Source organism: Homo sapiens, chromosome 11 (assembly GCF_000001405.40).
Source record: "Homo sapiens chromosome 11, GRCh38.p14 Primary Assembly".
NCBI classification, from domain to species: Eukaryota; Metazoa; Chordata; class Mammalia; order Primates; family Hominidae; genus Homo; species Homo sapiens.
Window position 1 is genome coordinate 28,585,005 of NC_000011.10, and position 25,636 is coordinate 28,610,640.

At 38.0% G+C, this 25,636-nt stretch overlaps 1 long non-coding RNA gene across 1 annotated transcript in view, besides 2 other annotated features; it reads left to right on the forward strand.

The window, feature by feature from the left end:
• The window catches only part of LINC02758 (long intergenic non-protein coding RNA 2758), a 140,695-nt gene that overhangs the window by 46,058 nt on the left and 69,001 nt on the right, over window positions 1-25,636 (forward strand). The gene's annotated exons all lie outside the window — the stretch shown is intronic.
• Window positions 21,470-22,007: an enhancer, noted in NCBI's record as "H3K4me1 hESC enhancer chr11:28628021-28628558 (GRCh37/hg19 assembly coordinates)". NCBI's record gives its function as "activates a minimal SCP1, AML or CMV promoter by ChIP-STARR-seq in naive H9 embryonic stem cells {active_cell/tissue: H9 hESC(naive)}" and the evidence as "EXISTENCE:reporter gene assay evidence [ECO:0000049][PMID:30033119]".
• Window positions 22,008-22,544: an enhancer, noted in NCBI's record as "H3K4me1 hESC enhancer chr11:28628559-28629095 (GRCh37/hg19 assembly coordinates)". NCBI's record gives its function as "activates a minimal SCP1, AML or CMV promoter by ChIP-STARR-seq in naive H9 embryonic stem cells {active_cell/tissue: H9 hESC(naive)}" and the evidence as "EXISTENCE:reporter gene assay evidence [ECO:0000049][PMID:30033119]".

A 25,636-nucleotide genomic window follows, 5' to 3' on the forward strand; every position in this document is an offset into this window, starting at 1 on the left:
CCATTACTCTTACAGCAGTCTGTAAGGCTGGCAGGATCTGTTCTATATTCTGTTCTCCACCTTCTCTTCCCTCAGATACCAAGTTAATACTCCAGCCCCATAGACTTTCTCTTTCTTTTTCCATTGTGTCATTAAACATTCCTATCCTGTTTTTCTGGAATGCTCATCTCCTCCTCTGCATGAGGCATGCCCTGACATACATGGGCACACACACACATCCCTGTAGTCTTTACTGAGTTAACTCTTACTCACTGTTTCAGGCCTCTCCTTAAAAGGAACTTAGGAAGCCTGTGTTGACCACTCAATTCCCCAGACCTCCAGACTTATGTCTTCCAAGTCTTATCTGCTAATATCCACTTTCTAAGTTTCAATTAAAATACCCAGAGCAATTCTAAATATATAGTTTCTCTGTGATTCGTGTATGTCTCTCTTTCCTTCTAGACCAGAGGCTCAGTGAGGGCAAATAACTCTTCTGGTTTACTGCTGTATCCCTAGCACTTAACATTGGTCCTCATCCATTATGGCCATCCATTCAATAGTTATTTATTGGATTGACAAATGATTGTTCTTTAAATATTACAGTTGTCTCTTCTAATGGAATCTCTTTCTAACCTATTGTTAAGGCACTCTGTAGTATCAAGATAATCAAGTGGTTTCTCTTTCAGGTAAATACCAAAGTCATATGCCTCAGATTGCACCACCATCAACCTGTGAGAAAATAATGTTAATATCACTGGCTTGCACCTAGAAAACCTCAGTCATCCTAAATGACTTTATTTAAAGCTTTCTTGAAATACACAAGGACTACAGTATTTTATTGGAGAACATTTTTTATACAGTTTCTTAGGTCATTTGGCTTTCTCATTCTACCATTTGCCTTGTCAAAAAATTTAGTTTGTCTATAGAATGGTCTTTAATTCAGGAATTACAACATTATTTAACATGCATAAATCAATCCATTTATTTATTTACTTATTTATAATTTTTGGTATTTATTCCATGGACTGCTCAGCAGAATGTATTTCCTTCTTTCTTTTGGGGGTATATCCATATTTATATAATCTATATTTATATCTATATGAAATCTCTCTCTCTATATATAAATTAATTAAAATTATTTTTATAAAATATATATTCATAGATTTATATATATTTAAATATATATAAAATACATATTTTAAACTTACTGATTTTTTATTTTTTGTAGAGATGAGGTCTCACTGTGTTGCTCAGGCAGGTCTTGAACACCTGGGCTTAATAAGTGATCCTTTCATCTCAGCCTCCCAGAGCACTGGGATTACAGGTGTGAGCCACTGTGCCCAGGAATAAATCAGTCCTTAAGTCCCTGGCACTTATAATATTGGAATATATAGGCTTAATATGCCCAGCATGCACATTCTCTCTTCAGAAGACTAAGTTTTTTGACACTAGTAAAGTGGTTTTTTTATTTAAACAAGGATAGGCCTTAAAGAGCAATAAATCAGTAGCTGTTGTCCCTTCAAGAGTCACATATTTGTTGCTGTCTTTTGGAGTTAACTCATCCTATCGGCACTAGCAGCATACGTGAGTGAATGAATAAAATGAGGAATGTATAAATTTAGGCAAAAAAGCAAATTAGAAGGCAATGAGTTTATTGTTTTCTGTAGCCAAGTTATGGAATCCCTAATTGCCCTTGTACTCTGCAAGTCTGTTAATAAATACAACAGTTTCCTGGCCAGAATTAGATTAGTGACACTGAGTGGAGACTTCTTCACCTGGCAGAACCTTCTTGTCCCCAACCAATAGAAGGGAGTTAGGAAATTATGTCTTCCCCAAGAGGACTTTCTCGTAATTGTGCCTGGAAGGGATGTTTTGACGGCAATAAAAAACATTACAGAATTATGAAAATGATGATGAAATTTTTTAAGGAAAAAATGGTTTCTAAATCTCCCCTAGGCATTTTGAGAAAATATTTTGATATGTAGTCTATGATGTCAAACTCTGGCTTCTTAATGATTAGTATAAATGGTCATGAAGAGGCCAGTTTTTTTTCTTACAATAGCCACCAAGGCTGGCAGGATCCAGCCTGCATCCAAGAAAATTGTATTTTCAGGTCACCCTTCCTTCCTCTTCCCATGTTCCTTCATGTTGTTGACTAAAGCCTGCTGAAATAAAACTTTTATCAGGCCCCAAACCAAACCTACTTCTTCCATAAGAGAATTTTACTTTGGGTTGATATTTAACTAGAAGTGACAAGAAAATATTTAGTGGAAGGGACATGAGATTTTATGTCAGAAAATGTGGGTTTGAGTTCTGACTACTCCTACTGCACGCACCATTTTGGCCTGCTCCTTAGCAATTCTGATCCTTCCTTCCTTCCTTCCTTCCTTCTTTCCTTCCTTCCTTTCTTTTTTTTCCCTAAAAGAAGACCAATGCTAGAACCTGTCTTACAGGGTTATTATAATAAAAAGGTGTGATAATGGATATAAAAAATGCTTGATAAACTGAAAAAAGTTCTACATTTGTTAGTTACCATTGTCATTAATTAGCAACATAGACCATTTATGCTATTGGCAATTACTAGGGCATCTGATCATAAATTTAGCATCAGCCAAATGCTCTCCAAAGACAGCTGACATTTAAATAAACATGTCAATTATCTGTGGAACTGGAGGCTTTATATTCTATCTCTGTATTAAGTCAAGCAAATTATTTGAACTATATTATTTATATTATTCTGTAGAAATATCCTAGGTGACTTTTAGTTTATGATACTCTGTGATTTTATAAAGATTTGATATTAAAATTATCCACTTAATATAGACTTTCTCTATTTTTTGTAGACCTGGGGCTAAAGATAGCACCCATAATGCTGTTGTTAAACAGCATCCTTTTTGCTAGGATAAATAAATTCTTGATTCTAAATCCAAGGTAAGTTTTGACTGCACCTAGATTTAAGTCCTTCCTTATGACAGGAAATAAGACTGCTATGATTTCATGGCTTTTTTTTTTTTGCATTTTTGTCAAATTTATTAGACTGTTTAGAGCTAAATTTTGTAAAATTTAATGGAATGTCTGCCCAATCTATTCATTTAAGTACACAGGAACATCTTTCCCTTGAAATTGCTCTTGGTGAAGGGAATACCTGGTTTTCTTTAAGTCACATTGTATATTAGCCAATAAGTTGCTTTCAGTTGTTTTGCGTTCAGTGGAGTGTAAATCTTAAATACATAAATAACTACAGTCAGGGCAAAGATGCTATATAATTCAGATTTCATATGTCTTAATGAGTATATTCAATTCTATATCCCTTTGGGACTCAACCTGATGAAAAGAAAATTTCATTGTAGTTTACAATAGTAAGAGTGAGTAGTTATGCAATAAAGCTTTACTACCTCCCCCAAAAAATCCACATTTCAAAGAAATGTCATGGTTGAGACCTTTTACCTCTTTCAATTGCTCCTCCCCACTTCTCCCACTTTTAAAAATCACAAACATTGGTTTTTCTTTTCTATGTCTATAGAATATTCACACTTAATACTTCCCATATCTCCTCAGCTCTAGACAGGGGTCTCTTGACTGCATCCTGGCTCCTCTAGTGGTTTCTCTGTTATCTAGGCTCCCAGTGGGAGCCCAAGCATAGGAGGGAGGCAACAGAGGACTGGGCTTATTCTACATGTCCTTCCAAGAGTCAACCTTTTTTTTTTTTTGAGACAGTCTCGCTCTGTCACCAAGGCTGGAGTGCAATGGTGCAATCTCGGCTCACTGCAGCCTCTGCCTCCTGGGTTCAAGCAATTTTTATGCCTCAGCGTCCCGAGTAGCTGGGACTACAAGTGTGAGGCACCACACCCAGCTAATTTTTTGTATTTTAGTAAAGACAGGGTTTCACCATGTTGCCCAGGTGGTCTCAAACTCCTGAGCTCAGACAATCCACCTGCCTTTGTATCCTGAAGTGCTAAGAGTCAACCTCTTGAGCTGGACTTTCTTATCTTACTATCAATCTCCGAAGGCCACATTCTTTTAAGCACTTGTGTTTTAAGAAAGATAAAAGAGAATTTGATCCATCTTAATATGCCTTGAGGTTTACATCTTACTGAGGCTAATTTTGTTAACTTTTTAGATTATCCTTTCTTGTGTCAAAGGATTCAAGGTCCAATGAAGTCCTATCTGTAAAAGAAGCTACATCCATCTGGTGTTTAAAAAACAATGAAAATATTATAACCAGATATTTTAAAACTTAGAAAAGTTTTTATTTCATTTATTTCATTAAACATTTTGGAGCAACGTATTAGACACTTGGGATACAAAATTGTATCAGTTATAGTTTTACCCTTAAAGAGTTCACTAGCTCACAGTTGTCATTGCTATTAGCACCTAGCTCAATAGCTGATATATAATATGCAACCAAACAATGGTCACTAAATGACACTGACCACTCAGTGTCACCAATCAAATTTTGGCCAGGAAACTGTTGTATTTATTCAATAGACTTTCAGAGTAGAAGGGCAATTAAGGATTCCATAACTTGGCTACAGAAAACAATATACTCATTGCCTTCTAATTTGCTTGTTTTGCCTAAATTTCTACATTCCTCATTTTATTCATTCAGTCATGTATGCTGTTAGTTCTGATAGGATGAGTTAACTCCAAAAGACAGCAACAAATAGGTGACTCTTGAAGGGACAACAGCTACTGATATACTGCTCTTTAAGGCCTATCCTTGTTTAAATAAAAAAAAAAAGGTTGCATATTATGAAAAAAGAATAAAATAATTAGAAGTTTAGATTTGTATAAGTTTTGCACTAGCATATGTATAGTATTTTACAGAAGAGGAATTGAAACCTGCTTTCCTGTGTCTATTAAGTCTCTGAGTGTCCTATTTGAAAGTTTAATATTTCACTAAAATCTGCATTCAATATTACTCCCCCCAACAAAGAAATGTTCACACCATTCTGTCAGAACAAGGTCAACCCCAAATCCTCTTTTTTGTTGTTGTTTTTTCTTAAACAGAATGGATGGGATAAAAATCACTTTTGCAGTTTGTTTCTTTTCCACATGGCAAATTTTTCTCCAAAATGCTCAACTGTTATTTCAGGTACTTTCCAAATTGTCCAGTCTCTAGCAGTTAGGTCTGGGAAGTAAAATGAAACTCTTAAGAGTGATTCCTTGAGAATATGTATTACTCCCTTGTCCATTCAATTATAAGGGGAAATGGTGTGATCTTCAGGGTCAGGGAAGGTATGTACAAAAGTACATTTTGAAGACTGTGACAGGTATATTTAAAAGAACGGTCTCACTTTTATAGATGGTTTCTTTAGAGATACAACAACTTAGAATCATAGAGTCAGGAATTTTGAAGATAGCTCAAAAAACCAGATCATTGTGGAATTTACTTAGACTTTTTTAGATTTCTTGCTCAACTTTAGCAAGTGTCATTAGTGGAAATAATCAGTAAAAATAGAATAGATGCTTCATGTAAGTGGTCCAAGCACATTCAGTTAAATAAGAGCACTAAGTACTTTATTTCAGTCACACCAGATTAGATTGCATTGCTTTTACATTCTGAGACAAAACTAAACTTTGTTGAAACAACATCCTGTTAAAAAGTAGCTGCTGTCTTGGTTTTGCCCTCTCTGGGCAGCATTATTTTTACTGTAATAGTTAAGCAGTAGTTATTTTATCCATTTCAGATATAAAGATGCTTATGCCTGGCATGGTTTTGAACACAGGATTTATGAGGGCAAAAAAGCAAACTGCGTCTACATAAATGAATCTGTGTGTTGGAATGAAATATTTATATATTTGTAGTTACACAGTGCACTTAACTAAAATTTACATCCAACAGTAACAAAAGCTATAGAGTGCTCATCTTCTTCTTCGTAATTCATACTGGTTTCTGCCTTCTCAAACCACAGCTCTGAATTTTATTTATAGAAATGGCTTCATATTTTTATTTTTAATTACTCAAAGTTTACTTTTGTTTAAGTTCCTGTCTGGCACAGTTAATAGCATGATCTTAAGTTCCTTGCTTGGCTTGGCCATTTATAATATTAGCCATGTGATGTTTGGCTAGTTATTTAACATCTAAGTTTCTTCCTATATGCAAACTGGGAATCCTTGTAACACTTAGTTTATTGTGTGGTTGTGAGAATTAATGAGTTGGTACATGATCTTAGTTCACTGCAGCATTAAGTGTTAACTATTGCTATTATTACTATCTGTAGAAAATTGATGAGATTATGTTGTAAGGATGGTTTCCCAAATGTCTATCATTTGTTATTTATGACTGTGAAAATGATCTGAGCAGCACAGGGGTGTCCTCTCTCATGGTCTTACACTATGGCCTTTGTTCCGTGAGCTACCTGTGGACCTCCATACTTATTTGAGCCTATCCTTGGGCAATTTAAAGATCTGCATAATATATTTATACAATTATGAATTATTTTTTGTTTATGAAACTCTGTATTCTTTGGACAAGATACCCTCTTTTCAGAGAAGCTATGTTAGTCACATGGGACATTTTTATTTAACTCTCTGTCTACAAGAGAGCCCTCCATACATAGCTAGGTGGTTAAGTTGCTATTTTAATGAAATAATAGGTTTGGACATCTGCTCTACAGTAGATACTCAGTTTAGGTAATTTGCTGACCCTGCATGCAATAGCCTTCTATCTTGGTGTTTGAGGCATACTTTCTATGCTTTCTAATGATTTGCTATGACAAAACAATGCCTCCCTACACTCACTGTACATTCTCTGAAAACTCTTCCCTTATTCCACTGAAATTCAAACTGCCCTGAATTACTTAATTCCTCTTAGATTAAAGCTGATTTATTCTTTCAAGGACTCCTAGTGTATGGGAGGGACATTTGGGATGTGGGGGAAGAGAGTTTATTTTAAAATTTTCAAGAACCCCTAATCTGCAGTCTCTCTTCCACTCCCTCTTCATCCCATTATTCTTGTCATTTCTGGAACAATCGTGAATGCTAGTTTGTGTTTGTGCATTAAAAAATATGGTAGTCAGGAACTGACCCTTCTGCCATACTAGCTGGATCCATTCCCTTCAATGTGGAAATGGGGCCATTGAGGGAAGAATGGCCAGTGGTTGAACTGAAGCTCCTCTGCAAGTGAATTTAGACTATCATGACAAGCTAAAAACACATTTCCAAAAGCATATCTGAGAGGAAAGTTTACATTTATGGTACAGTGACTTGTTCTGGGCCAGATACCCACTGGATTCACTCAGGGCATACAATGTTCAGTTATCTTTGAGATGGAAATCTCTCAGAGATTGCAAAGCCTCTAGGCCAATGTACTGAGTCAGAATTGATGTAAGTACTGCTATAGGACCAAGAAGCAAAGATATCCTTTGTTTATTATTTCTAAGGTATTAAACAGCCTCAAGGTATATCCACAAATTTCTTTGAGATGAGGCTTTCTCTTCCTTGGACTGCTGCTGAGATTGCTGAGGGTCAACATCCTTCAGCTGCTTAGAAACTCAGTTGATTGAATGGTTCTTTGAGGAACTGGCTTGAATCTTTCTGAAGTCACATCTTTGGCTTCATCTTTTGTTTTCCTGAAAGTGTCCTGGATTTGATCTTTGCCCAGAAGCTATTTCTTAATTTTAGTATCATAAATTGTCTGGAGAGGCTGAGAATTTTCAAATCCAACAATTCTTGGCTCCTTTTCTAATCAGCCCTTCCTTTAGCTTTTCACTCTCTGCTTGCATTTTACTATAAACAGCAGAAGAAGCGAGGTATCTCCTTCAACACTCTGCCTGGAAACCTCCTCAGCTACATCACCCAATTCATTAGGTATGTTTCCCATTTCTCATGTTTTCAAAGGGGACAGTGCTCCTAAACTTCCTGACGTTATATAACAAGGATGCCCTTCCCCAAGTTCTAGTAATAGTTTCCTCACTCCGCTATAAGCTCTTGCCTTCAGCCTCCACAGAGTCTTCTAGTAGTAAACCCTTAAAGATGCTTCAGGATTTCATGATGCTTTCCTCACATTCTCTCCAGCTGTCATCTACTGTCCATTTTCAAAGCCATTTTCATAATTTAGGCTTGTGTTATGGTAGCACATAATTCTTTGTACTGAAATCTGTATTAGTTATCTGTTGCTGCATAACAATTTACACTAAAACTTAATGGCTTGAGCAATAATAATCATTGTCTCATAGAGTTTCTGTGGGTCAAGATCCAGGGACAGCTTTGCTGTTTGGTGCTGGCTCAGAGTCTGCCATTAGGTTATAGTCAAGATGCCAGTCTGGACTGCAGTTATTTGAAAGCTGAACATGGCCAAAGGATCTGCTTCCAAGCTGGCTCAATTAAATGACTTGTTGCTGGAGGCCCCAGTTCCTTCCTACACATACCGCTCCATACTGCTGCTTGAGTCTACTCATAACTTATCAGCTAACTTCCCCAAGACAGCATGATTCAAGTGAGAGTAAGGCAGAAGCCATTACGCTATTTGTGACCTAGCCTTGGTAGTCACATATCATTATTTCTGCAATAATCTAATGGTTACCCAAATCAGCCCTATTTATTATGGGAGGAGTCCCTCCCATAATAAAGGTGTGAATATTAGGGTACAAAGTTATTTGGGAGACATCTTGAAGGCTGGATACAACAGGAGGTAATCCAGAGATTAGCAAGTTTTGGAAGCCAAGCAGTGGTGTGCTAATAAACCAGCTCTCTGAAAAATAAAACAAAAATATCCTGATTGTGGTGTTTTTCATGATATAAATACTCTTACTGAGTTCAATTTTAAGCTACCAGTGGTTTAACAACAGGCTTGCAAAATTCCCAAATACTTCACAATTGATTCTCATGAGTTAGCAAGAGCCAACTCCAACACACCATTGCCCCCAGGGCCAGAAAGGGAGGAGGTTATGTTCTTGGAGGCTAGGGATTAAGGCTCCTTGAGGAAAGCTGAAACTCCAGTAGGCTTGTCAAGTGCCAGTTGGAGACTTATGGAAGAACCTCAAGAGCTGCTTGAGAAGCTGGTGATATAGGGACCTCAAGAATGCAGGCAGCAGGAGTTAGCTCCTTGCAACTTAGAGCAGAAAAAGCAAAGAGGTGAAGAAGGACTGGCTCATTTTGATGGCAAAAAATGGAAGAGCTTGGAAAAATCTATAGGGACAGAAAGCACATTAGTAGTTGACTGAGATTAAGAACAGAAATTAACTATAAATGGGCATGAGGCATCTTTTTGATATGATGGAAATGTTCTAAAACTGGGTTTTGAGAATGGTTACACAACTCTGTAAATTTACTGAAGCTTTTTTTTTTTTTTTTAATGGAACAGCTAAGATTCTATCCCAATCTCTAATTCCACCAGACCATGTAACTACGGGGTATCAGAAAAAGAAGAGATTGCCCGTTGTACTGGGTTTGGTATTTTAGCCTTTAAGGAGGCCCCAGTGATCTCTACCTCTTGGTATTTACATTCTTGTTTAATATCTTCCCTTTGAGTGTGGGCTTGCTTCTAAACAAAAGTCTATGACAAAGGTGAGGCGATGTTACTCCCTTGGTTATATTACATTACATAAGATTTCATCTTACTAGCAAACTCATCTCTTTGTCTTCAAAGGCCCTTCCTGGCTTTGAAGAAGAAAGCTACCCTGAATCCTATAGTCAATACAAATGCATTGTGTCAACAATATGAATGAGCTTGGAAGTGGCTTCTTCCACAGTCAAGTCGCCAGATGGGAATGCAGCTCAGCTGACACCTTGATTGCAGGCTGTAAGATGTTGAGCAGAGGACTCAGTTAAGCTCTGCCTGAACTTCTGACCCACAGAAATATGACAGAATAAATGTGCACCTTTTTCAGATGCTGTTTGTGATAATTCTTCATAACCACAATAGAAAAATAACAAACCATTCTTTGAATATAGGTATATAAAAATAATGGTTTTGTTTGTGTTCAAAGTTTATGCTGTCATAATTTTGTGGACACATTTTTGCAGGTGAATGATAATGGTGTTTTATAGTTACATTTCATTTATTTCAATATTTTTATTTTCCAGGATAAATAACTCTATTGGTTTTCTTTGATTTGCTTTCTATATACCAATCACTAATTCATCATCAAACCCTCTGCATAAGTGTAACTCTACTAGCAATATGGTCAAACACATGAGGCAAACTCTCAACTTAATTGTTGCTATTGAGAAGTTTAATTCCATTCTGATTCTGTCTCCTCATCCCCACCCCAGAAAGCTTTTCAGTTATCTTCATCTGCTGAATTCTGAACTTTTATAATGATGTGTCATGGTGGTAGTTCTCTTCTATTCATTGTGTTGGGCACCCAGTAGGAACTTTCAATGAGGAAACATATGTCAGTTCTGGAACATTTGTTTTTTATTCTCGCTTTCTCTCTCTTTTTTTGGGAGGGGTAATGTCCTCCTCTATGTTTTCTCCTCAAGTGGGAAGACCTTCACATCCTGTTTTTGCTCTAGATTTCTCTTTCTTGCCTTCTCAAAGACTTCATTCCTACAATTATATTCTGGGGCTGAGGAGTGCAAATTAAGTTACTTATCTGTTTTCCTCTTTAGGTTTCAGTATTTTAGGATCTGTTGAATCAGTTATCACTCATCCATCTGCCTTCCAGCTTCCAAAATGTTGCTGTATTCTCCTCTTCCTTTTTTTATTTTTGTGAGCTTAGCCCTTTTAAAAAGATCACTTTACTGTCATTTCAGTGTATTTTTGGGAAGAGGGGAATATAAACTCTTTGTTCATTCTAATATCTTTAACCAGAATCTGACCTCTACATTTTACTTTCCTGTTATCCTCTAATAATAGTCCTATGAGGTAAGCAGGGCAGATATCATTGTCCCTCTATTATTGATAAAATACTCACGATTCAGAGAGCTTAAAGGACTTGTTTGGAGTTACTAAACAGGCTGAGAAATATTCAAGTCTCAGTAGCTATAGTTTGTTGTTCTTTCCATGTATAGCACATTGCTTCCCAATTCTGGACAATAGACTCAAAGGTTAGTAAATTTGGAAGTGGTATTCTATTCCAGTATTTTCTAAAATGTACACCACAGAACACTAGTCCCAGGAGAAGCTCTTTTAAAAATATTCCACGATCAACGAGGTGAAACCCCGTCTCTATAAAAATACAAAAAAATTAGCTGGGTGTGGTGGCACATGCCTGTAATCTCAACTACTCGGGAGGCTGAGGCAGGAGAATCTCTTGAACCCGGGAGGCAGAGATTGCAGTGAGCTGAAATCGCACCACTGCACTCCAGCCTGGTGACAGAGCAAGACTCCATCTCAAAAAAAAAAAAAAAATTCCGCAATCAACCACATTAGAGAAGCATTGTACACTAATGAATTTCCTTAATTCTATGATACCACTAATGTAGGAAATAATTATTAACAGTTAATAACAGGCCAGGCGAGGTGGCTCACACCTGTAATCCCAGCACTTTAGGAGGCTGAGGAGGGCGGATAATGAGGTCAGGAGTTCGAGAGCAGCCTGAACAACATGGTGAAACCTCATCTCTACTGAAAATACAAAAGTTAGCTGGGCATGGTGGCACGTGCCTGTAATCCCAGCTACTCAGGAGGCTGAGGCAGGAGAGTCACTTGAACCTGGGAGGCAGAGGTTGCAGTGAGCTGAGATCACACCACTGCACTCCAGCCTGGGTGACAGAGCGAGACTCCGTCTCAAAAAAAAAAAAAAAAAGAAACCTGTTAAAAATAGTTAATTCGGCATTTCTCATTCGACACCTATTAATATTACAAATAATTCATTTATTCATTTAATAACTATTTGTTGAGCCTCTGTTTTTCACAGGGCACCATGCTGTGTACTAGATATTGGCAAAATGATAAATGATTCCAGCCCCTCAAGGAGTTTAAGTGAGGTAGCTGAGTGTCTAACAAAAATCTTAACCTAAACCGATAAATTAGTTTACTGCGAGGAACTAAAATTCCAATTAAAACCAGAAGGAGGAGTATGAGTTACTAAACTTTACTGAGGTGTTGGGGAGTGGAGGTTGTGGGGTTGGACATGGGGAGAGAACAAAGAGCATTCCAGGAATAGATAATGTTGTTTCATACTCCACATTGAGAAATGCTAAGAATTTCTCAACCATCTTTACAGACAAGAAAAATATAGGTGAGATAAGTTAGAATTTAAAAATGCCAATATTGAATGGAGTCTTAGACATCTAGTACAATACTATGTACAGTACATAAATTCCCACATCTTTGGATAGATGTCCTCTCCCTTTCAAACGATGTAAGTGGCAGTGAATCAAAACTTCTTACAGGTTGAGAGAGATCTGAGTAATTTCTCTGTTTTAGGTTCATAAAGTATTTTTTTAATGCCAAGCCAGAGTTATCTTACATTTGTCATGTTTATGTTAATTTTTTGACATATACAGAGAAAACACTAGGAAGATAACACAACAATTAAACACAAAACCTCATACAGAAATAATGCCAAAAGTTTTGAACATGAGACCAAGACCAGATTATTTTCCTGAGCCCCACCTTTCCTGCCCCTCCCCACTTTAAGCTTTACAGGAAGCTCACTAGTTCTCATTCCATAGGTTGAACTGATAATATAGTATCCATACATTGGGCTACCTTTTGGAAACATGTGGAACAGTCTATCAGAAAACACTTTAAATATTTGTGGGTCCTCAAGGCTAAAAAGTCTTCTGGGACTTCAGCATTTCTCAGATGCCACAGTTTCAAGAACTTTCATTCTCCTGATTCGTCTGAAAATATTCTGAGAAAACCTAAAGGTTTCCACTCATTTGGCTCTAGGAAGCACCTCTGTCAATATAGGGACATGATAACTTTCTACTTAATTAAATACAAAGTCTTAACTGAACCATTTCAGGCCCCTTTGACTCACTTCATACTGATGGGGCATTTTCCCCCACTGTAGCTCTATGCTGTCAATACCTTTCGATAGTACATTCTTTCCCTGAGTGGAGCAGGTTTTTGCAGCAAAACAAAACAAAATTAATTTTGCATGTTACTCTGCAGTCTGGGTATTCAGATGTAACACATGTACCCTGCATCTATATTTCACCTTATTTGATGTGCCAATAGGCCATACACATGCCAGTCACTGAAGGGAAGCCAAGGATGCTTGAGAGATAGATACTTTTGGCATTTCCAGGACTCCCCTTACTCTTCCTGACTAGTCTCCACTTGACCTCATGCCTTGTTTTAGACTTGATTCTTTTGTAATTTTCACTCAGCTCTGACTCTCAATATTCTTGTAAGTGCTTTGACTGGCTGTTATTTCTTTGGCTTGTTCTCTCCCCAGTGACCTCACATATGATATCTTTCTCTTCATTTTGGCCTCTTGGACCTTTGTCCCTGTAATAGCCTTCTTGTATTTATACAAGCAGGGCCCATTTTTGCCATTTGTGAAAACAAAAACATAGAGCATGTGTACCTGGGGAAACTAATTTCTCATTAATTCTAGAGAGTTTTCCATGATACCTAAATTCCTGGGACATTTTTATTAATATCTGATACATGTAATTGTTACATAGTATAAATAAAGATCTCCAGATGTAAGACCTTCATGAGGGCTTTTAGAAGAAAGTCCCAGTCCCCGTCTCTATGTCTGAGTTCCTTGAAAATATCAGAGCCCCAGTGAGTAAATATTTGGTAATAAACCTTGTAAAATATTGGATAATTGTTTGCAACTCTTCATTCCTTTTGCCATATGCCTCTCATTAGAGTGGACAGAGTATCCTTCCTGGCTCCACTGGATGTTGGGCTAAGTCATGTGAATTTCTTTGGTGAATGGAACATTAGCAGAGGTGTGGCAAGCAGAGGCTTTATGTGTGCTTGTCTGAATTGCTTGGTTTCTTGCATTTTGGCCATCCGCTGTGAGAAGATGACCCCTGGTTCTATAATGAAAGACTTAAAGAAGGCTTGAATCTGACCCGACACTTTGAGGAAAAGCTACCCTGGCCAGCCTTCAGCCTCATTAGCAAGAAAACATTTCTTGTATGTCACTGAGATTTGGGGGTTGTTTACCATGCAGCTTATCCTAGCAGAAACCTAACTGATAAAATCCTCTTTTATACCACTTTGAGAATGACTGCCTTCAAAATATTGCCTTTATTCTTTCTCCTGGAAGGCTTTCTGTTACAGGTTAAATTGTGTTCCCAAAAAAGATAAGACATAGTCCTAACCTCTGGTACCTTGAATGTGATCTTATTTGGAAATAGGACCTTTATGGATGGAATCAGGTTAAAATGAGGTCATACTTGATTAGAATGGGCCCTAATTGTTTATGATTGGTGTCCTTATAAGAAGGAAAAACAGAAACATAGAAATATAGAACACTGTGGAAACAGAGGCTGACATCAGTGTAATACAATTGCCTTCCAAGGAAGGCCAGGGATTAATGGGCACTACCAGAAGCTAGGAAGACACAAAGAAGGACTCCACCTGGAGTCTTAAAGGGAAAATGGCCCTTCTGACACCTAACTTCAGACTTCTGGCTTCCAGAGCTGTCAGAGAATAAGTTTCTGCTGTTTTATACCACCTAGTTTGTGGTATGGCAACCTTAGGAAACAAATACATTTTTCCTAATGATCCTAAACCCAGAAGTTATTTCTCTGTTTACAAAATACTTTATACTGCACTTAGTTACTTTCATCTCTCCTACTAGGATTTGTACCCCTGAGGAGTCTCACCCCTTAGGCTTTGCAAAACTATAACTGCAAAGAACCACATCTGAAGCCACAGCATGTTGGTGGTACTTGACTCTTAGTAGATGTCTTGTGGTTGTCTTGGAAAGAGTAGCAAATGTACAGTGAGAGAATATGTTTCTCATGCCTGGATTCTTCCCTTAATTGTCGTGTGATCTCATAAAATTTACTCAACCTCTGAGAGCTTCATTATCCTTATCTATAAAATAATCATAAAATAACTACCTCACAGAGTTCCATGAAGATTAAGTGAGTTAATGGATCTGAAAATGTTTCATGAATCGCCAAATTGCAATAAAATGTTGAGTTGTTTTGTGATTATTAATATGAACTTTGTTACATTCTGTCATTTTCTCAGCACATATTTATGAGTGCTTACTAATGAGTGCTGAGCACTGTGCCAGGTGCAATTCATAGTATGCATGGAGCTTACTAATGAGGTAAATTCATTATATGAGATTAAACAAGGTGTGGGATGCAGAATAATGGGGTAGAGGATCAACTTTAGAGAGATATGACAGCCTTCTCTGATGAGGTGATATTTGAGAACTGAATGATGAAAATATGTCATACATGTGAAAATCCAGGAGAAAATTATTTCAGGCAGAGGAAAAAGCAAAGCCCAAATAGCTTGTTTTGAAAAAGAGCTTTGCCCAGTCTTAGAGACTGAGAGAAGGTAAAGGAGACAAGAACCAAGTGAAATGGGCTCAGATCACATCATTTGATGTTTGGGAGGCATATAGGGGACAGATCTTTCAGGACGCTGCAGGCCATGGTCAAGAGTTTAGATTTTTATTCTAAATGAAATAGGGGAACTATTATTGGAGGACTTTACTTAAAGGGGTAACATGGAACTTAAATTTAAAAAAATACCTCTCCAACTTCTGTTATGGACTATATGGTGGTGGGAGTGAGAGGAAAAGCAGGAAGAGAATAGGAAGGAGGCTGTGGTAGTTATCTAGGTGAGAGGTGGATGATAGCATGGACTAGGATAATATCAATGATAATTTTAGTAACTTGGATTAGGGTAGATATTTTCAAAATATAACTGACAGGTCTTTGTGGATCCTTAAATGAGGGCTCTAGAGACAGTTAATGAAGACTTCCAGGTTACGTGCTTTTGTAACTGTGTATATACTGGCCTCTTTTACTGATATGTAGAGATGGCTTTTGGAGAATATTTAAGAGTTAACAAGAATTTTTTTCTTCATGTTTTCCTTCAGATGTCAACTTTGGGCCTTAACAAAAGGGACAGAAATTCTTGTCTAATGTACATGGAACTCAGGTGTTGATATGGTTTGGCTGTGTCTCCATCCAAAATCTCATCTTAATTGTAGTCCCTATAATCCTCATAATTCCCACGTGTCAAGAGAGATACCAGGTGGAGGTAATTGAATAATGGGGCTGTATCCCCCATGGTGTTCTCCTGATAGTGAGTGAGTTCTCAAGAGATCTGATGGTTTTAAAAGAGGCTCTTCCCCCTTTGCTCGGCACTTCTTCCTGCTGCCTTGTGAATAAGGTGCCTTGCTTCCCCTCCACCTTCAGCCATGATTGTGAGTTTCCTGAGGCTCCCTTAGCCATGCTGAACCGTGAGTCAATTAAATCTCTTTCCTTTATAAATTACAGTCTCAGGAATTTCTTTATAGCAGTATGAAAAACAGTATAATACAGGTATCGACTGGCTGTTATGGTTAAGAACAGGTGTTGGCAAATTGCCTTAGTTCAGGACACTATGCCCAAACTATACCCATACCACAGATGGGTGGCTTATAAACAACATAAAGTTATTTCTCCTAGTTTTGGAGGTTGATAAGTCTAAGAGCAAGGCACTGGCAAATCATGTGTCTAGTGAAGCCACTCTTCCTGGTTTGCAAATGGCTGTCTTCTCACATCCTCACATGATGGAGAACAGAGAGAGGAAGCAAGATCTCATGCCTCTCCCTCTTCAGTAATGGCATTAATCCCATGATGAGGGTTAGCCTTTACGAGCTAATTACCTCCCCAAGGCCCCCACTTCCTAACACAATCACATTGGGAGTTAAGATTTCAACATATTCATTTTGGGGTGATACAATTATTCAATCCGTAGCATAACCTTTTTCTTAAGGTTATGCCAGATAGTAAATATTTTAGGCCTTTTGGTGCAAGAAGCAAAATAGTAGATATTATGTAAGTACTTATATAATCATTTTAATGTAATCATTTTTAAAAGTGAAATACATTTTGTAGCTCACGGGGCCATAAATAGGCAGGGGACTATACTTGGTCTTTAGAAGGTAGTTTGCTGAACCCTGGTCAAGATCAGCAGATGGCAAACTACTGTCCATGGACCAAATCCAGCCAAGTGCTTGTCTTTGTAAATAAAATTTTATTGACGCACAATCAAACTCCATTGTTTACACATTGTCTATGGCTGCTTTCCTGCTATGATGTAGAGTTGAGTAGATGCAACAGAAACTATATGTCCCACAAGCCTACGTGATTTACTATCTGGCCTTTTGGAAGACAAGTTTGCCAACCCTGGTCTAGATAACAGTGCTGGAGCCCCCTTCTCCTGTCCTATGGAAAGGACCTTACTTTCTCTAAGTTTTCTGCAATCTTCCAGGGGCTTATATTCTCATGGTTCTCTCCAAATCCAAGTTCTTCTACTTACAAATGGATTATTTCACCACCTCACATGTGTTCTCCCTGTCATGTTACCTCAGAAGGAGAATTCTATCTTCACTGCTTGATGTCCATAGCCATTGCAGGACAAAACCTGAGTGATGAAACATTCTTCCAGAACTTTATGTAAGAGTTAGGCTTTGAGGATATGGAGGAGGATGATATATCATTAAAACAATAGCTTAAAGTTGATCATTGGACATTTCCCATTTTTCTTCTTTAAAAATTCCCTTGAACACATTGGCTAACTTAGACTCTAATCTCTCACCATGACGCTCTGCCGTCTTCATTTTTCTCTTTTCTGTTTTCACTTATCTGCTTTCTCCCATCTCCAAATTTCGGTTCCTTCATCTTGCTGAATAGTTAAGCTACATTTTTGTTGCTTTCTGCTATTGTATGATAGGTTTCAACTGCTACTCTCTAAGAGATGTATCAAGATTTTTTTCTTAAACAAAAACTACTTCATCTTAAGAAGAATTCCATTTCTAATTTTAGTAATTTCTTTTTATCTTAATACTAAGATATCATGGGTGGTGAACAGCCACCCTCTGCACAGGTACCTGCTCTACCATCTTGCCACAGTTATGACATTTCTATATTTGGAGACACTGTTGGTTCCCTAACATGTGTCAGGCAGTGTGTTAGATATGTGAACTGCAGAACAATTATCTCATTTAACTCTTTCCCAACTTTGTTATTTAAATTTTTGTATCCCCATTTTGTGGGCAAGAATATTGAGGTTTATATGCCCTTGTACTCAAAGTCACATCTCTGATCAACGGGATTTAAATCCATCTTTCTGCTACTAATTTTCAAGCTGTTTTTATGGCACCACAGAGTTTTGATTCTGACCAAGCTGTTATAGAACACCAGATACAAACAGAGAAAATATATTATTTTCTGGAGAGCATGAAAATAACGAAGTATTAGTTGATATTTTTAGACACTTTCAACTGTTGGGCCAGATTGTGGAGAATAGGAAAATGACAAATATCGTGTTTCTGTTCCAAAAAAGACAATAAACCACGTAAGTAGTCCTCCCTAGGTTAGTATACAAAGCAGGTGTGGGGGAAAATATGAGAAACAACCTTGTGGGTTCCAGTGAGGAAACACTTCAAAAAATATCATTTGATTAAGAGACAGCCCGCATGATTCAATGAGGAGGCGGAGGTATTGCCTTGGAAAAGCGTCAGATAAAGAAATACTAAATGCCTGTAGAAGTGTCGTGGGTATGGGGGCTAAAAACAGCTTGTGGAATGGCAAACTTTCTGAAAAACATGGCAACAGCAAGTGTCCATAAATGGCAACTTCACTCTCTGTGGATGAGTGGGAAACAGCAGAGGGTAATTTTTAGATTGCTTGTTTTTTTACGTTAGTGGAGTGCAGTGATGCCATTGGAAATATTAAGAAGGATGAAAATGTGTTGGTGACGAAAGAACACTTATGAAAATAGAATAGCACCAGGACGTGGTAACCTGATGGAGATCGTTTGATGACTAAATACAGAATATTGTTGATACCTGAAAAATAGTGCTGTCAGCCAACTGACCAGAATAGACCTCTTTTTCTTTATGTAGCACGCTGGTGTAAAACAGTGTTCTCCACATAGGGAGGCCTTTTGGAGTTTCCTTCTTTATCTTTAGGTAACAGAAAATCTGAAATAATCAGATGTCTGAAGCTTGTGGGATTCCGGACAGTTATATTTTCTGATTATTTGTTTAATTGTTTATCTTGCTTCACAAATGTCTAAATTTCATTTTCTGCCTCTCTAATGGATACTTGAAAATCTTGCTACGCTGCAAGATTTCTTTGGATTAATAGGGCTTCTTTATCCATTCAATAGATTTTTCACTGAGTAATTGTAGTATAGCAGGTTTTACGGTGGGTGTGGATATCTTAAAGATGATTAAGATAAGGACCCTGCTTTGTAACATTCAAGGAACATTAAAGGTAGCCATTGAACCTGAAACAGATTGAGATGACTGCAGGTTGAAACAGAAACATATTCTGGAAGCTAACATAAGAACCCTAAGAGAGTATCTTTTATGATCATCAGACTCTTGTCTCCTAAATATGAGAAGCAAATACATCAGATTGAAAAATCTAGTAAGCTAGATTCTGGTTGACTGATGAAATGGTTTGGCTCTGGGTCCCCACCCAAATCTCATCTTGAATTGTAATCCCAGTGTGCTGAGGGACGGACCTGGTGGGAGGTGATTGGATCATGGGAGTGATTTCTCCCATGCTGTTCTCATGATAGTGAGGGAGTTCTCAGATCTTCTGAGGGAGTTCTCACAAGATCTGATGGTTTTACAGTGGCAGTTTCCCCTGCACCCTCTCTCTCCTGCCACCATGTAAGAATTGCCTTGCTTCCCCTTCACCTTCTGCCATGATTGTAAGTTTCCTGAGGCCTTCCCAGCCATGCAGAACTGAGTCAATTAAACCGCTTTTTTAATAAAGTACTCAGTTTCAAGTATTTTTATAGCAGTATGAAAGTGGACTAAGAAAGTTGAGTTTAGTGTATATCAAACTATAATAAACATATTGTGAAATTCAGGTGCAATCTTATTATTTTTTGGATTAACATTTTTTATTACTTGCATGATTTCTATGGTAAGAACCCATTGTCCTGGATTATTAGGATGAAATTAAATATCCATTTTTAAAGTAAGATAAAACAAGCCATTTCTTAGCAAAGAATATGGCCTAAGGAAACTTTCTGAGGGCTAGGCATATTTGGGGGAAAAAAGTGCTTGGGAATTTGAAATTAATATCTAGTTAAGAAACATTGCAAAAGTTTTATTTTATCATGTGATTATAATCACACCTACAAAACACAAGTAATCCAAATGAGTAGGGCCTTTTGTGAAATTTTCCCACAAGCTTCTGTTGATTAAATGATCACTGAATAACCGTTGCACTGTGAAAGATACTCTAGAAAGCACTGGGTCAGAGTGGGGAACAGGATACAAAAATGGATAAAACACAGAACCCAAGATGCAGTCAAAATGGAGACCAAGACATTTCCCATGCAGCTAAAGTACAATGTTGAATAAGATAGATGCTCTGAGAGAAGATCCAAAATTCAGTTGGAATTCAGAAGCCAAAGAAGTCACATGTAATTGCAGGGATATCAGGAATGACTTAGTGAAGGAGATCATGTTGAAGCTGAGCTTCATGGTTAGATATTTTAACAGGAGGAAAGTAGGTAAAGTGCCCAGATATACAGAATGCTGTGAGTACAATTATAGCATCAAAAAACTTCAGGTTATGCCTGGGGAATAAGTCATGGTTCAGTCTGGCTAAAGTGATAGATTTTCAAATTTTGGTTAGTAATAAAACTCCTTTTTTTCCTTCGCCAAATGAAAGGTTATGCTGAACTCCAAAATATAACATAAATCAAAATAACAAAGCTGTTCTAATTAAAGTGTGTGTGAGTGTGTGCATGTGTGTGTGTTTGTGTGTGATAGAAGACAACCAGAGGGAATGTATTAATGTCCTAGGGCTGCCATAAGAAATTACCACAACCTTGGTGGCTTAATGCAATATAAATTTATCCTCTCACAGTTTTGGAGGCTGTGTATGAAATCAAGGTGTTAATCAGGCTATGTTCCTTCTGAGGGCTCTAGAGAAGAACCCTTCCTCACTTCTCCAAGTCTCTGGTGACTTCCAGTAATTCTTGGTGCTCCTTGGCTTGTGGCAATCTGATTCCAATCTCTGTTCCGTCTTCACATGGCCTTCTTTCTTGTGCCTCTGTGTGTAACTGCATCCAAATCTCCTACTTCCTCCTCTTATTAGGACACAGTCATATTGAATTTAGGGTACACTCTAATTCTATATGACCTAATCTTAACAAATAACATCTGCAATAACTCTTTCCAAATAACATTACATTCACAGCAATCTGGGGTTAGAACTCAACATATATTTTATTCAACCTGTCAGTTCAACCCATGACAGGGATGATTTTTGAGATTCTGAGCTCCCCTTGCTTCAACTGCTACCCTCTTCTAAAGTGACCATTGAGGCACCTCGACCGAGCCTTAGGACTGCCCATCCTGAACACTGAAAACCACTGGGCCAGTGCCGTCTCCCCATATTGCTGGATCAGGAGAATCATCTAAGGTCTTTCTTATACACAGAATCCCTGAGCCCCACCCCAATCTACTGAATCAGAATCTTGCAGTCTGTGTTTCTATCAAGTGCTGGAGGGCAGTCATGATAGACTAGTCAAGTTCATAATGAACGCTGTGCTAGAGCAGAGGGCCATTTTGGAAACTGGACTGAAAAGGCAGATTATAGAGAATGTTGATATCAGGCTGAGGGACAGTAGCTTCAAGAAGAGTTTGCAGGAAACATCTTCCTGATGCTCATCATATCACACTGCATTCAGGTCTCCTGGTGTGTTAATACATGAGAAAAGTCCCAACAGCAAGTGTCTAAGGGTTTCTCCTCACCACGGAGGCTGCTCTGGTGCCTTTGGGGTCTATGATCCCAGCCTAGAATTCCTATGGTTCCCCATCCTAAGGGCGAGCTCCAGGTTACAGAGCTGAGGGGAGCCTGGGTTTGAGGGGTGACCTGCAAGGCAGTGGGCCAGCAGGCCCTGCAGGCGAGGCTGCTGCAGGCCTCCTTTTGCTGGCCAAGGAAGAAACGCCTGTCACAGCAGCTGCCTCGTGTTTCCTCATTAGGGTTGCCTCCACCTTGAGCACACGTGTGGGAGCAAGCGAGGGAAGTCAGCCTAGGAGGGGAGCTGCCGGGCCTAATGGGCGGATGGGCCGCAGGGGAGGGAAGGCATGCTGTTGGTGACTCAGAGTCAGCGAGAGGTGGATTTCGCCAGCAGGAAGTTGGATTCAGGAGGCACTGCCGGGTACTTTTCCATCCTCCCTCCTCTCCCCCTCCCCACCATGATCCTGTGGTTCAGGATGCCAAAATGCACAGGCCAAACTCAGCTTGTTTCCTAGAACTGCACGAACTGTTTGGACTGACTTGAACTGGTCAAAATAAAACAACCGAGGAACCTGTCAAAATCCAGTGAAGAATGTACAGCTCTGCTTTTGTGCAGGTGATTGTTTTGAATGACAGTGTTTGTGACCAACAACCCACCACTATTTTCTACCATCAATCATACTCTACTCCAATCAGAAAAAAAAAGAGAAATAAGAATTTATGAGAGATGCTCTTTAAAAATAGAAATTGTGTCATTGAAATCTCACAACAGACCTTAGAAGCAGTTATCCCATTTTATAGATGAGGAAACAGAGGCTGGAGACCTCTCCTGCTCTTTCGTACGGTCAGTAAGATACAGAGCTGTAATTTATATCTCACTCTGTCTGGCTCCAAAGCCCGTAAATGCCTGAGTCCAGGCTCCCTCCCAGTCAGTTGTTTCTCAGCACTGACTCTGCGGGGCATCCTCCTGTACCCATCCCAGCTCGGATTCTCTTTTCTCACTTTTGATGGCTTTCCCTCTCTTCTGCACCTCTCCGTGTGTTATCTGCTCTTTAGAACAATAAGTGAGCCGACCTAAGTCCGGAATCAGTTAAAATTACATCACCACCCTGGCTGTGTGAATCCGACATATGTAATTCCTCCAAGTCTTTCTTAATATGGAGGCAGTAATAATAATTACTTACAAAGCAGTTATGCATAGTATGTAAAAGAATACATGAAAAGTGCTACAATATAGGTAGCATACATGTTTTATTACTCAAGTAATAATTTCTGGTCTGTTTGAGAAGCAATGACTTATTTTGTACTTCCTGCCCAAATCACATCACATAATAGCTACACGCTTGCTTGTTTCATGTGTGTCAACTTTGTATCCCAGAGGAGAATTTAAAGTACTTATGGACATTAGTCAATGCTTATGATATTTTTCTTTCTATATCTTGTGCTGGTCATTAGCTTAGATGCACAATAACTATAGATTGAAAGTCTTTTATTATAACAGTCAAAACAATTAAATTACATTCTATATGTAGAGCCAACCACCAACTAATTACTGTTGTTCATTGTACAGCATTTCAGATATAAAAAATTGATTATGTCCTGCATATCTTTTTTCTATCCCATTCTTCCTGTCTCTTCCTTCTTTCCCTAACTATTAGGTACCTTCTTAGTTATTAATACTGGGCAAACCACTGTGTTGGATGCGGTAAGCCATATCTATAAGGAATAGATAGGAGAAATGAGGGTACCCCGGGGCCTGAATACTCAACCAGCACTTCTGATAATCACAACGAATTCCACAATTGACATGGAAGATATAGGACAAAGAAAAAGACTAAAGTCACACTTAACTATTTTGTTTTTGGTTTTGTTTGTTTTTTCCTTAAATTGCCTTGCAGTACCCCTAGCTGAGCTGTAATGCTTGCAATTGCAGGGAATCCTTTGGAATAGACCAGTTTCCCAAAGCATGGTCCTCAGATCACTTCCATAAAACTCACATCAGGACGATATCACAAATAACGTTAAGCACATCAGTTTGAAAGGAATACTGTGAGGAAAATATTCCTGAAAGGTGCTGCCAAAAGGCCAAAATTTCCAGGACAAAAACCATGCCTTGGAAAAAAAATATTTATTACATAGTTTATGTACTGTAGCTTTATTTCTATATTTTAGTCTAAGTAATACATGTGCATATTTTAAGATACCAAAGAGTACATATAATTTTTTATATATATACATAAATAGCACTCCTTTGCTTTACTCTTCCCTATTCTACCTTATCCTTCAGATTCTCTTCTCAGAGGGATTCATTTCAACCCTCATACCTATTGATTTGGGTATTTACCTCCGAGTTTCTAAATAACATGCTTATACTGCTGTTTCTTGGTTTGTTAACTTTAGACATTAGTTATTAACTGCCCGTGTTGAGGTAAGTCAAGATTTACCTCTTTTATAGTCCTTCTTTCCATTTATTTCTGGAGATTTCCTTTTCAGTTCTGGGGAATTTTGCTATATCCCTTCTCTGATAAATTTATCACTTCTATGTATTTTTAGTTTCCCTGCTACCCACACTAGAGAGATGTTAAACTTCCTGTTTGACCCTCTATTTCTCCTTTCCTGTTTTTCTTTCTTCTTTCCTATTTTCTCTTGGTCCTTTTGCGTACTTTCCTAGAGATTTTCTTGATGCCTTCTTCTAAACCTCCTATTGAGTGTTTTATTTTGGCTAGTTTAAATTACCAGGAGTGATTTCTTCTTTGCTACTTGTTTCTTTATTTTCATGGAATCCTCTTCTTATTTGGATGCAAAAAAATTTAATTATCCTTTGTTAATTGTGAGGCTATTAAGTATGGATTTATTTCTGTTTGTTTGCCTGCTTGAGTCTTTTTCTTTCATGTTGGAAGCCTTCCTAAAACACCTGCTGATCCTTAGCTGTCAGTTCCTACTCAAGTGTGAGGCACCGAGAGACCAATTGAGAGTTCTGTGTCTGAGATTGGATTGGTGGACTACTATCAGATGATTGAATGGTGAGCGACACATTTCAATAGGAAGATCCACCAAATTTCACGGATTTTCTGGAGATTGTTCAGTTTTCCAAGGGAAAAAAAGAAGCATATAGTATTTTTCTTGGAAAATAGGTCTTACGGAGTCTTATAAGCCATGGTAAAAAGTTGAGATTTAATTTAACGTAAACATTGGCAGCCCCATAAGGGTTTTGTGTAGGAGAGTGCTAGGATCTGATTTGTATTTTTAAGTGATAATTATAACTGTGACATATGGGGACAAGTGTGAAACCAGAGAAATCAGTATATCAGGAGTAGTCCAAATGAGATTGAGTGCTCTATTCCTTACCACTGTAGCTGAACCATTCCTGAGGAATCAGTTTTTTGTTTTGCAAAGGAGTCTTGGGGCTTTCCAATAGAAGAAAAAGATCAAAAACACAAAACAAAACAAAACAAAACAAAACAACAACAGCCACTTCTTCTGCAAACCCCCCCAGAAAGAGTTCAGCAGATAAGGAAACATTTGGAATCCTTAGCCCACTTAGAGTCCAGCAGGTGACAATGAAGTTTGTTGAATTTGTTTTTGATATTTTATATCTGGAATAACTTAACACGAAAATACCCCTGTCCAAGTTGCAGAGGCTAACTTAAATATCAAGTGTATTTAACTTTCGCTGGAATTATATAAGCTAAGCTTTTTCATTCATTCAACAAATAGCTGTTATAGAGATTATATTCTAGTTATTATACTAGCTTGTTCAAGTTTATGGTTGGAAATTCTATACATCTTTGGTTAATTAAAAAAGAAAAGGAATTTATTATTTAATAAAATTTGGTAATTCATA